Source organism: Homo sapiens, chromosome 1, assembly GCF_000001405.40.
Source record: "Homo sapiens chromosome 1, GRCh38.p14 Primary Assembly".
In the NCBI taxonomy this organism is placed as follows: domain Eukaryota; kingdom Metazoa; phylum Chordata; class Mammalia; order Primates; family Hominidae; genus Homo; species Homo sapiens.
The window spans coordinates 94086960-94100297 of record NC_000001.11 but is presented as its reverse complement, the minus strand read 5'-3'; the positions used below and the strand labels follow the sequence as shown (position 1 = coordinate 94100297).

General features: G+C 46.4%; 1 protein-coding gene across 2 annotated transcripts in view, besides 1 other annotated feature; it reads left to right on the top strand.

Moving 5' to 3' along the window:
* The window catches only part of ABCA4 (ATP binding cassette subfamily A member 4), a 128315-nt gene that overhangs the window by 20851 nt on the left and 94126 nt on the right, over positions 1–13338 (top strand). For both annotated transcript variants that reach the window (NM_001425324.1, NM_000350.3), the window contains exon 6: positions 1307–1504. In NM_001425324.1, coding sequence (NP_001412253.1) covers positions 1307–1504 — 198 coding nt within the window. The remainder of the gene's footprint in view (positions 1–1306; positions 1505–13338) is intronic.
* Positions 6476–7028: an enhancer, noted in NCBI's record as "OCT4-NANOG hESC enhancer chr1:94558826-94559378 (GRCh37/hg19 assembly coordinates)". NCBI's record gives its function as "activates a minimal SCP1, AML or CMV promoter by ChIP-STARR-seq in primed H9 embryonic stem cells {active_cell/tissue: H9 hESC(primed)}" and the evidence as "EXISTENCE:reporter gene assay evidence [ECO:0000049][PMID:30033119]".

The following is a 13338-nucleotide window of genomic DNA, read 5'->3' as shown; positions in this document are numbered from 1 at the left end:
CAGTAAATACTAGCTGCTTTTAGTGGCTATTCTTAACACACCCTCTTCAGTGCTCTGGTTTCACTATGTTTTATGGGTCCCTGAGATCGAAAGTGTCCACACCGACTCATGGTCAGCTGTAACCTGTGCCTCGTGTGGGGACCAGGCTGCCATGTGTAGTCTGGACAGTGTAGGAGGTGGCAGAGCTCAGGCCTGTTCTGCCCTCCAGCCCAGAGAGCCACGTCGTTAGATGTCATGGGAGACTGTGGTGCCCCGGGAATCTCACGAATTTGCCCACGGTACTCAGTGTCTGTCCAATGCTATGGGAGTCCAGGACTCTAGGAGCCAGTTAAGGTGCTGGGTGGCCACAGGTCCCTGGCCAAGGTCCAGGCCTCTCCCCTGCCACCTGATCCTCGAGAGGCCATCACGAGGGTTGTACTTCAAGAACCACTATCCTTGAGCTACCTAGGAGCTGCAGAATGTGCACTCTGCAGGGCTTAGGGCCTGCAGACAAGATAGATGCAGGGTGTCTAGTTAAATTCGAACTTCAGATAAACAACAAATAATTTTTTCAAATAATTGTGTTCTATTCGGTCCCTATTTGGGACATATTTGTACTAAAAAGTATTCATTTATCTGAAATTCAGATTCGACTGGGCATCTGGTGCTTTTGTTTGCTAAATCCAAGAGCAAATTTGTTCTAGCTACTTCTCAACCCCACCTTCAGAGAGGAAGCCTTGATGGTACTGTAACATCATGCTGTAAGAAGGGGATCCCTTGAATTGTAAATGGCACTCTGATAAGATGAGGTATGGGGATTGTATTGGTTTCCTGTTGCTGCTGTCATAAATTACCACAAACTTAGTGGCTTCAAACAACACAGATGCATTATCTTACAGTTCTGGAGGTCACAAGTCTGAAAGTTAGGGCATCAGCAGGACTGCATTCCTTACTGCGGAGTTCTAGAGAAAAATCCATTTTCCTGCCTCCTTCAGCCTCCAGAGACACGCCACATTCTTTGGCTAGTGGTCTGCTTCCATCTCCAAGGCCAGTGGGGGCTTATCAAGTCTTTCTCACATCACATGACTCTGTTTCTTCTGCCTCCCTCTTCTACATTTAAGGGACCCTTGTGATTACACAGGGGCCCACCTAGAAAAGCCAAAATAATCTCCTTATTTTAAAATCAGCTAATCAGTGGCTTTAATCCCATCTGCGATCTTAATTCCTGTCGCCATGTAACACAAGGTATTCCCAGGTTCTGTGGGTTAGGACGTGGGTGTCTTTCCTACCACAGGGCAGTTTCTAGTGTTGCCTCTTCTCCCTGCAGTTCGCTCATGGAGTCCCGGACCTGGCGCTGAAGGACATCGCCTGCAGCGAGGCCCTCCTGGAGCGCTTCATCATCTTCAGCCAGAGACGCGGGGCAAAGACGGTGCGCTATGCCCTGTGCTCCCTCTCCCAGGGCACCCTACAGTGGATAGAAGACACTCTGTATGCCAACGTGGACTTCTTCAAGCTCTTCCGTGTGGTAAGGGAGGGGTTTGGCTGCTCGCCAATTGCAAGGTGATTCCTGGGGTAGCAGAGCCTCACGAATTGACCTTGGGGAGGGCGTGAGCCTGGTGTTCTGGACAATCCTTGCAAAAGCTCCAGGCTCCCAGGGCTCAAAAAATCACAACTGATAGTATTTCTAGAACAGTGGCCCAGGGACCCAGAAGTCACTATGAGGTTCACCATTAGGTATGTGGCTGTGGCATGTTTGTGTCCACTCTAAATGTGGGGATAATCCCCTTTACCTCCTCTAACAGAGTGGTAAAGGAAGGAGGAGGCCTGGTTTGACTCCCTGACCTGCTATTTCCTAGCCAGGTGATCATGGTAAGATATTGAACCTTTTCTGGTCCCAGTACTCATCTATAAAACAAATATAATACTTTACAGAGTGGTAGGAATTATACAAGAAAAGTATACGCAAAACATTTCATAAATTTTAATAAATGATGGCCCCATGCTTCTTCCTCTGGAAATGGTCTCAACCTCAATGGTTGGTGTTTCTAGAGAGAAAAAACGACAGAGAAAGTTTCATAGTCTCAAAAATTTGGAAAGCCCTGATCTAGCTCAACCCTTTGTTCTAGAACTGCATCCCAGACAGACTGCTTGGGACCTGAAAATATCTCCTCCTTTGCTAGAAGGATAAGATGAGAAGGAATTAGATAAAGGAGGTGTAGAGCAGAGGTTTTCACACTGCAAAGTGCATAAAAACCATCAGAGGGCCGGGCGCAGTGGCTCACGCCTGTAATCCCAGCACTTTGGGAGGCCGAGGCGGGCGGATCATGAGGTCAGGAGATAGAGACCATCCTGGCTAACACGGTGAAACCCCGTCTCTACTAAAAAACACACACACACAAAAATTAGCCAGGTGTGGTGGCGGGCGCCTGTAATCCCAGCTACTGAGGAGGCTGAGGCCGGAGAATGGCGTGAACCCGGGAGGCGGAGCTTGCAGTGAGCCGAGATTGCGCCACTGCACTCCAGCCTGGGTGACAGAGCAAGACTCCGTCTCAATAAAAACAAACAAACAAACAAACCAAAAAAACCCATCAGAGAAGTTGGTAAAAGATGCAAGTGCTAAATCCCCACCCCCAATCACTGTGATTCAGAAGAACCAGGCCAGGCCCAGAATCTATCCTGTTACCTTAGGCGATTCTGATGAAGACCATTGTAGGCCACACTTTCAGAAACACTCAAAATTAGAATCCTTCAGAGAAGGTGGCATATATAATATTTCTAGCATGGAATTATGTTTTTTTTCTTTTGCCTACATTTTAATTTCTAGAACTGTGTTGTAGGGAATGTCAGTCACTAAGAACTTGATTGAGGAACTGTGTTTTGTCTGTTTCATGACTGCTCTCTCAAGTCCCAGGAAACTCACTTTCAGCTTGTCTTAAAAAGCAAGCTGAAGGCTTTTAAAAATGAAGCAACATGAAATAAGACACCGCAGTTTCTGGCACGGTCCACGCTTAATCCCCTTCAATGTGTGACTTTCCGTGGAAAGTTACTCTACGATTTTCCCAGCTCGTCAGGGTGGGGCCCCAGAGTGAGTATGAAGGGTCAGAGCCTAGGGATGCCACCATCAGTGAGAGCCCAGGACCCCAGAAAAGGTCTCTTGGCTCACCACACTGTAGGAAAAATAAAAAGCAATGTAGTCCAAATGTCTCTATCCAAAGTTTCAAAAAGAACTTGATTTTAGACACGCTCCTTGACTTGTTTTCAGAATCAGACAGAAGAGTGAGGCAACAAAGGTCCCTTATTCCAGGCAGCTGAATACCAGCACAGCCAGGAGTCCAGTGCTGGTGTTTGCAGAGCCACCAGAGGCTCCCTCTCAGGTGTCCAGGGCCCGCATGCTTTGTAGAATGGGCAGAATGAGCAATGTCTGTGCACCTGGGCTTTGCAGGCAGGGCCTGGGTACCCAGGTTCGTGCAATCCTCTCGTCACCATGAAGGGAGCAGCATCATTCTTCCCTTCTTGAAGCACCTTGGCCACCAGTATAGGTAAATTTACCTCCCAGGACATGACCATTGATTCTGGGATGTCAATGCCAGAGATAGTAGGGTAAATCGGCACCTGGGTAAAACTTTCCATTGGAGACTAGAACCAAAACTCAGGACACTGGCTTCCAAATGTTTCTTTATCAGACAAGAAAGACCAAGTCTTTCCTTACGTCTTCACATGCTGCCTTGGCAAATGCTAGCATTCACAAACCCTGGGCTACCTTGACCTGTCACCCTTGCAGACCTCAGACGGGTCCTGGGGGCTTGCTTTCTCGGTTTCTGTATGCAGGCACTCAAACCTGCATCAGGCACCTGTGAAGGGCCGGGCACTGTGCTGAGGCCAAGGCTCCAAATGTGAACCTTCCACCCTCACTGAACTCACAGCCAGACCAGAGACAAGCAAACAGGACATTTCACAGCAGTGCAGCCTAGAAAGGGCCAACACCAGCAGCATTTGTCCCCCCGAGCGGTAGCTTTTAGAAGCTTCCCCAGTGATTCAATGTGTCCTACAAATGCCTGGCCCCCACTCCCAGAGATTCTGAGTCAGCTGGCCTAGGGTGCAGCCTTGACTTCACTGTGTTAAAAAGCTTCCCAGATAAGTCCAATGTCCGGCCAAGATTGAGAATCACTGACCTAGAGTTTAATTTACCACCTCAGTCTCTATAGACCACGCATAATAATAGTACCCCACACACCTCTGAGGGTCCAAAGAACTTTCATTTGATCACCCATGAGACCACCGTGGTGTGGAGATGCTTTCTCTCTCCTGTTCTCTTAACAAAGCTGGTGAGCGACAGAGCCTGCAGTGGACCGGGAGATGGCCCAGAGGAGAAAGCTCTGCCGTAGTCGGCCTCAGTTAACCACGGAGCACCACCCCTACCTGCTCTCCTCTCACTCCTGCTTCCGTCTCGGTGGAGAAAGATCCAACCGAAGCAGGACACATCTAGTCTTCTGGTGCCTTTAAAATGTACTTTTCCATTTGACAAATGGATTACACTAAAAACAAAAATTTACAAAAAAAAAAAAAAAACCTGAAAGAAATTGCAGGCATTAAAATGGGACTTTGCCTTTATTGCTCCTGGGCCCATCCTATTTGGGTTTTTAGAAAAACAAGCCTGAGGCAGGCCCAGAAAGGCTCAGGGCAGACCCTCCGATCCTCTGAAAGGAGCATCAGGCAGGCAGGGGTTGCTCCGGGGCCAGGGAAGGGGCCCCGCTGGGACGCGGCTGTTATTGCAGCTGGTTGGCGCGCAGCCATGCTTAGCTGCAGTGCGGGAATGCTGGGCCTTCTGTTCTGGGCTGTTTCTCATACGCACGTAGGCCAGTGTATAAATAAGGTTTTATTAAATGCCAAATGAGTTCTCATTAACAAAGAAAGAGGGAAAATCTCAGTAAACCACCGTGACGGCATCTACCCACTTTGAGTCAGGAGCTGGGGGTGTGAGTGCAACCTCCGAGACAAGGGAACCTGTGGAGCCCAGAGAATCGGAGGGGGGCGCTGGGGTTAGCACCGACTGAGACCAGCTGTGTTTTCTCTCGGTTCCTTGGAGATCAGAAGTGAGTGTTGTCATCTTCAAACAATCCAAAGGCAGTACCCATGGCCTTACTACATCCCTCCCACACCATCCCACCCATCCCCGCGCGTACACTCACACGCTCATTTGCACACTATCGCACACGCTCACTTGCGTGCGCACACACAGATTGGTGACCTAGGTGGACTGGGAGAGAAATAAGAGCCAAATGACTGGATTTTCTCCAAGGAAATTTATTAATAGCCCCTCTTGGTTTCACCTGAAGGAGCTTGTCTTCACCTGCGGCCTTTGCAGGCTTAACGCCCCCAGCTTGAAACCCAGAAGCTCAGACTTGGGCCCAAGGTATTATTAGTGCCAACACTACCTGAAATGTTTCGCACCTCATAAAAATGGTGTGTCAGTTTCGGGTGAGAGGTTGGGACGCTTCCCATCTGATTTGGCCCAAGGCATGCATGCCCCTCCTTCTCCTTCCCCTCCTCCTCCCCCTCTTCCCCCTACCATCCTTCCTGTTTTCTCTCCAACTCTGGTGCACAGCTTTGAAATCTTGCTGAGAAGCAAATCTGTCCCTTCTGCTTTGAATGTTTATTTGTGGAAGTTCGGCAGGGGAACCGAGGCGGGTGCCAAGACCTGCCATGCTGCTGGGAAGTCTGAGTCTCCCTCCCTTCCCCCTCCTAAATGCTTGTTGATAGAGAAAAGTCAGCCTCCTCGGCATTTGGGCTCACGGTTTTCCTTTGAAAATGCTTCCAGTGTGGCATGATTCAGCTTTCTTTTCTGTCCCCCAACCACTGCTCTGTTGTCATTTTTACTTTTCTGATTGCATTTTATCCGTGTCTCTTTGACTACGGGGTGGCTGGACGTTGAGTTCCAGGAAGAAAAGGGCCCAATCTTGGGGTTCTGACTACATGCGCCCATCAATGTCCTGTTTCATTCTTGGCTCTGGCTCCCTGAATTCCTGAGTCACTGGGGAGAAGCGTGGGTGGACCGCCCCCTACCCAGTGAGAGTTGCCACAGTTGCTGCTCTCCTGGGTCATTGGTTGCAGATTGTTAAACTTCACCTATGCATTTCAACTTTCGGGTGGATATTGCTACGTCAAGTGTCTGGGAAAGCCCCCACAGCTACAGGATTTTACAGTGAGGTCCCACTAATGACTTGATGTCATGACTTCCTCATTCTTTCCAATTTCTCCCACTTCTCCATAAGGGTTTTGGGAAGGGGAGAAGAGAAAGGAGTGATTCCTGAGTGCCAGTACCAGGGAACAGCAGGGCTGTTGGGAGGAAACAAAACTAAATCAGGAAGGTTTTTGTTGTTGTTTTTGGGGGGTTTTATGAAAATATTCAAGCCACAGCAAATATATTTGATTTATAGCATTAGTATTTTTTCTGCCTGCATCTACAAAAATCTTTACCTATTACCATCAAAATATCCTCTGGGTGAATGGATTTCAACAAAGAAGAAATAAAAATGAAATAGAAGAGAGGCCCCTTCGTGCACATTGAGCCTACTGGCTGGATTGTCACTTGCCTGCCTTGATGTCTTTTCAGCTCCAGGCAGGCAGTAGGCCAGGGCTTATTTTCATGACAGATCAGATGTTCTTTTATGGATTTACAAAGAAAGAAATACTGAGAAGTCAAAACTGAAGTCACTTAAGACAAGAGCAGGCCCCTGGGAAGGCTGCCATTGAGGATAATGAGTCCTGGGGTCCTGGCCTTTGTTCAGTAAATACGCACTAGGCGCCTACAATGTGTGCACCAATGTGTGAGGCGTCAGGTTCTCTCCAGGGTCAGTTGGTTTTAAGAAAGGTTTTGGCTTCTGATATGTTTTATCTCTACAGAACAGTAGCTCTTAACCTTTCTTATGGGTTAGGATTACCTTCGAGAATCTGACTACAGCTCTAGACCTGTTCCCTAAAGAAAACTAAGTTCACAGGGACACACAGGATGGGGCTCATGGAGCAGCTGAAGCCAGACCCCAGGTTAATAGCCTTTACATTAAAATGTTTTTCTACCTACCACTAATATGCATTCTTTAGTAAGCGGTCTCAATATACACCGATTCTTCCTTAACTCTGTTTATGAAGTATTCAGCATCCTCCCTGCCCCCTTCAGCATCCTCCCTGCCCCTGAGCACAGGATCCAATGGCGTGAGGACCACAGGCCTGGGCAGCTGCTGGGGCATACAGGCATCTCTTAGTGGCTGAGAGACTGGGCCCTGGCTCTATGTTGGCTCCTAACTTGCTGCCATTTAAAGGAAATCTTAGCCTCCCATCCGTAAAATCGAGAAAATAAGACTTGTCCTACACAGCTCATGAAATAGTAATGAAATTCACATTAGAGAAGAGATGGAAAAACACTTTGAACAAAAAGCATTTTGCTCTTATAAAAGCACAGCCTCTTTTGAGAGGCCCTTTGCTCCCCATTTCTCCTTCTTCAGACCCCCCCAGACTAGGAGAAGGTCTGTCTCATGGAGTGACCTTTTGGCTGCCTCTAGATTCCAAGCTCAGTTTTGCTTTCATTAACCACAGATACTGGGACGGACAGAAAAAGACCTAGTTTCTGTTGAGCCAAAGAGTCTCATAACTTGTCTGTTCACATACCCAAGAGCCCACCCTCTAGTTGAGACACTCAGTTCCCTCTCATTCTGGGAGACTGCATGTCTCTGTGACCTCCTGGTAGAGACCGTTTGACATGTCCCCCAACCCCCCAGTGATTGAGTCTGAATTCTCCACTGATGACGCATTTCCTAGCACTCAGGGTGTCCCCTCCTGGTTGCCCCCTCACCACTGAAGCCCGCTTCCTCCCTTTTCATTTGATGCTTAACAACTGTCAGTTTGCAAGAAACATGCTTCAAATCCACATTCTCCCAGTTGCCTAGCAACAACTTCCCTCCCGGATAAATGTGGGTTTCCTGTAGCTCAGCCCAGGACTGAACACAGCAGCACACACTTCTGTCCACTGCTTCAACTGCTTTTCACCTCTGGTCTGCATGCCTTCAAGACTGCAGCTCATCCCTCCCTTCAGAACCTTCCATAGCCTGCAGAGGCCATGTCTGCCCCAAAAAGACACATTGAACCTGAGGCTACTTATTTACCCTTGTGTTAGGTATATCCTCAACTTAGAAATTAATACTGTTTCCAGATTGTCTTCTTTGAATCACAGAAAGTAAAACAACAAAACATTCAATGCTTAAGACATTTCATGTGCGGTTGGGTGACATCTGTTTGATGAACACATTTGATCCAAAGCATCAGAAATACTATGCCAACAAGACTTTTTAGGAGGTGATAAACATGTCTGTTCTACCTTAAGAAAAAAATATTACACAGTCCCAAGGGAGAGACATGGTTTTGATCCCAGACAACCCAAGCAGAGACCTCTTAGGGCCGGAATCATCTTGGCTGCTGCCTAGGACCTTATATCAATTTCTTAAGCACAGGATCAAGGCCTAAAGGCCCCTTAGACTGACCTCAGTTAGTAGAGGCAGATCCCTTCACAGCCTTATCTTCCTTAGAGGTCTAGTCTGACCTTGAACTTCGGCTGGCAGTGCTGTCAGTTGTGATGTGTGACATGGAAGAGTTATTTGTTACTTGGAAAATTAAGAGAACTTATTTGGCATAGGAAATTGTGTGTGTGTGTGTGTGTGTGTGTGTGTGTGTGTGTGTGTGTGTGTGAGATGATGTTTGCCATTTTGATCTGTGACTTTTTTTTCCAGAAATAGTTTCTCAGTTCCATTCCAACTAAACTTACAGTCTCTTCCGGTTCTTTGACAGAAACAATTCATGTGAATTTGAACAGATAATAGGGAAGGGGGAACCAAAAGAAGAGGAGAGCCCTGGGAAAGTTATTTTATAATTTATGGCAACCTCAGTCAGGCAACTGTGAACAGGTACATATGGAGGGCTCCCTCGGGACTAGGCAGTATTCAGAGATGTAAGGTGTGAGGACCGGACCCTCATCATTTACCATTCCCACTAAAAAGAGCTGGGAAGGAAATTGTAGCTGTAGCACCAGGCACGTAACTGGAGCTTAGTAACTATTTGGTGAAGGAATATTATTAAATTATTAACAAGATGGAAAAAAGGGTATTAACCACACAAAAATACATCTCAAGCTATTGTTTCTCTGTTCCCTTTCCCCCAAATTCCTAGTCTTGCTCTTATCTGGCTGTCTCTCTAGTCACTCTTTCTTGCTGACTCTCTTCACGTTCCTTTCTCCACCTGGAATTCCTGGGCCCTCCCCTTTTACTGACAGACACTGTCCTCACTCTCACAGTCATCAGTTTGTCTCTTTACAAACCTCAGCTCAAGTGTCACTTCCCCGTCCCCAGGTGAAACTGACTGCTCCCTCCCTGTAAGTCACCATGATGACTGCTATATATAGCCCTCATGGAACCTAAAACCTCAACAGACACAGTCTCTTTCCTACTCTGTTATAGTTTATTTACTCATTAATTACCACAACACGTATTATTGAGCACCTACTGTGTACCATGCCCAGAAGATAAAAGACAAACAAAATAAAACCTATTCCTATGCTTAATGAGTTTACAGTCTAGTGGAGAGATAGATACATTAAAAAATAACAGCAAACCAAAATAAAAGTGGTAAATAAATGCACTGAGAAAGACAGGAATAGCTAGGAGGGGCACCTAATCCCTAGGGAAGGAAAGCTGGAAGAGCATGGTGATGGGGGAAGAAGGCTTTCTGGAGAAGGTGAGGTAGTTTGAAATGAGTTGACTCTGGCCAGTAGGGGTAGAGTGAGAATGGGGTGAGACAGGGTGGGTTGGTCATTTTGATCCATTAGTCCTCAAAGTGATAGGACTAGTGGCTAAGGACTGCAGGCTTTACAGAAGCCTACAAAACTATTTGAGATTTGAAGTTTTTTTTTTTTTTTAATTGGCTCCAAAAGAAAATGAAAAAACTTTAGAATTATAATGAATGAATATTAAATGAATATTTAAGGAAGGTAATTTTATTCAACTTCATTGTTAAATTTAGTTAAAACAAGCCCTTGAGTTTCATTCAACACTGTTTTATCATACCGTTGATGAGAGAAAACAAAACTGATTCCTGGCCAGGGCCACTGTCAGCGTGGGGTTTGCACATCTTTCCCATGTCTGCTTGGGTTAGCTCCAGGTACTCCTGTTTCCCCCACATCCCCAAGATGTGCCCATTAGTGGAAACGGTGTGTCTGCATGATTCCAACGTGAGTGAGTGTGGGTGTGGGAGTGAGTGCCCCTGCCATGGGAGGGCATCCTGTCCAGGTTAGATTCCTACCTTGTGCCCTGAGCTGCTGGGATGGAATCCAGCCACCCATGACTCTGAACTGAAATAATTGGGTGAATAATTATCTTACTTTTTAATTAATCTTTGAAAATGTATGTATAGTTCACATGTATTTCAATATTTAATATTAGAAGTATTTTAGTCTTTATTTTGAAGTTTGGTGATTTATTGTAACCAGAAACAAGCTATAGAAACTTAATTTTGGGCCAAGTGCAGTGGCTCACACCTATAATCCCAGCATTTTGGGAGGCCGAGGCAGACGCATCACTTGAGGTCCGGAGTTCAAGATCAGCCTGGCCAACATGGTAAAACCCTGTCTCTACTAAAAAATACAAAAATTAGCCAGATGTGGTGGGCACCTGTAGTCCCAGCTACTTGGGTGGCTGAAGCAGGAGAATCACTTGAACCCGGGAGGCGGAGCAGTGAGCAGAGATCGTGCCACTGCACTCCCACCTAGGCGACAGTGTGACACTCCATCTCAAAAAAAAAAAAAAATAGAAAAGAAAGAAACTTAATTCTGGTTTATATCAATTAGCCTGTGGTAAAATTGGTTTCATTATAGCCATTTCACTTAGTTGAAGTTTCCAATAACCTGTGGATGAATTAAGTGAGGATTTACTATATTCATAAAATCTTAAATTCCAAAGCCTGTTTGCAGTTCAGGTTTTTCCACTTTACAAACACTTCTAAGTATTCACAATGATTGCTTAAAATTCATACCAGATAAATCATTAAATAAGTTGTTCAAAGTCAAATAATTTCATAAGTAAAAATTAGGAGCTTTTAGAAAACTATACCTACATAGACCTAGACCTATAGATAGACAGAGATCTGAATAGATATGGACACAGATGCTTTCCAAAGTGTTCATGTGATGTGTGGTGGAGTTTCAAGACCAGAGTGTGCCTGGGGCCTGCAGAAGTAAAGGAGAGGGGATGGAGAGAAGATTGTCCACATGGCCATGGGCAATCTCCCACCCACACTCAAGTGAGGAAGACAGGAAACAAATTCAGAAAGAAGAGAAAATAATCAAAACTGATGGGAGCTTGTGACTGATTTACTTATGCGCAGCCTCCCTGGAGACATGAGTGTGGCTGTTCCTTAGGTTGTGCCTCTGGGCTCCTACCCCCTCTTAGATGCCTTCCTATTATCTAGGACCTGGTTGCTTTTTGTCTGCATAGCTTCTTTGGATTCCAGTCTTTGATGCCAGCTTCCTCCTAAAGTAGCCTTTCAGATGTCCCTTGGTTACCCTCTGCTATCTAAGGGCTCATCCTACCCCACACTCATTCCCAGCACCAATTTCTGGATCTCCAGGCTGGAGATTTAGACAATGGGATGGGAAGAACCCATGATGGGTCCCAGACAGAAAGTGGTGCCAGCCACAGAAAGGGCACACAGGCACAGAAGTTGGTTTGGGGTAAGACGATGTGGTCAGTTCAGAACACGCTGGATCTAGGCAGATGCCCAGCAGACAGTTGGATATGTAAGTCTGAAGCTCTGGGGAGAGGTCTAGGTTGGAGGTACAGATTTAGAAGTCATCAACAAAAAGGTAGCAGATTAAATGATAAAGGAAATGAGACTATCCGGGGAGTGTGCAGAGTGAGAGGAGCAAGGGAGGCCCTTGGGAACCTCAGCACTTCAGGGGAAGGTAGAGGTACAGTTGCTGGTGGGAAAGGCAGAGAAGTAGCAAAGCAAACCAGGCAAAAGCAGTGTCACAGACGACCAGGGAGGAAAAGGACATGATCAAAATGTTGAGAAAAGCAGAGAGGTTTGAAAATACAAGAAGCAAAAATGTCCACTAGACTTAAAAACCAGGAGAAAACTGGGGGGTTCTTGATAAAGCATCTTAGTAGGATGGTGAGGGTAGAAGCCAGGGAAGTGTTGGTGAGGAAGTGAAGTCACTGATTACGGACTATGCTTAAAAGAATGTGGGAATGAAGGGTGGAAGAGAGAAATTAGACTGTAGCTAGGGAGACATAAGCGATCAGAGGTAGATTCTTTCTCTCCTGTGGGAGAATCTTGCACGTATACACAGCATGACGACAGTGATGGAAGGGCTGGCGAAGCCTCAGGGAGACTCTTGGAGGTAAACCCCATGAAGGGAGGACTTTGTTTCATTCACTGCCGTGTCCCCAGCACCTGGCACAATAGCAGACACTCAATACATATTTGTCAAATGTGGGATTTTATCATTTAGAAACTGCACCTGGCTGTGAGTAACAAAAGTCAGAGAAACCGTGGGTTTCATTTTTCTCCCCAGGCAGAGTCTGGAGCTGGGTCCTCCAAGAGGGGTTTGGAGCACCACAGGTTTCCTCAAGACCCCCAGGCTGCCCTGTGTTTCCCTCCTTCATCCCCAGCATATGCCTGTCATCTGGTGACCTCCAAACACCTGTGCTGCCTCCTCCAGCACATCCATGTTGCAGGCAGGGACCAGGCAAAGGGCAGAGGGGCCTACTTCAAAAGACCATTTCCAGAAACCCCATCCTATGACTTCTCCTGGTGTCTTGGTTACCATTGTGCCATAGGCTCACCCTGTATGCATGGGAGGCTGGGCCAGGCATTATGACTTTTAGCAATATTGCATAGATAAGCATCAATCTTTGTCACTGTGACGAAGCCTAGTCACTCAGTGCTAGGCAAGGTTAATGGAATGGGTTGGTGTGTGCATTATTCTTGAGGTCTTTCTTATGCTTCATGTTATACATTTATTAGGACGTTTAGGCAACAGGGGGATAAAAATGAAGAGGAGATGCATGCTATGATCTGAATGTTTGCATCCTCCCCAAAATTCATATGTTGAAATCTTCATCCCCAAGATGATGGCATTAGGAGGTGGGGCCTTTCGGAGGCAATTAGGTCATGACTGGGATTAGTGCCCTTGTAAAACCCCAGAAAGCCAGCTTGCCGCTTCCACCATATGAAGACACAGAGAGAAGATGCCATCTACGAATCAGGAAATGAGCCCGCACCATGCAATAAACCTGCTGGAGCCTTGATCTTAGACTT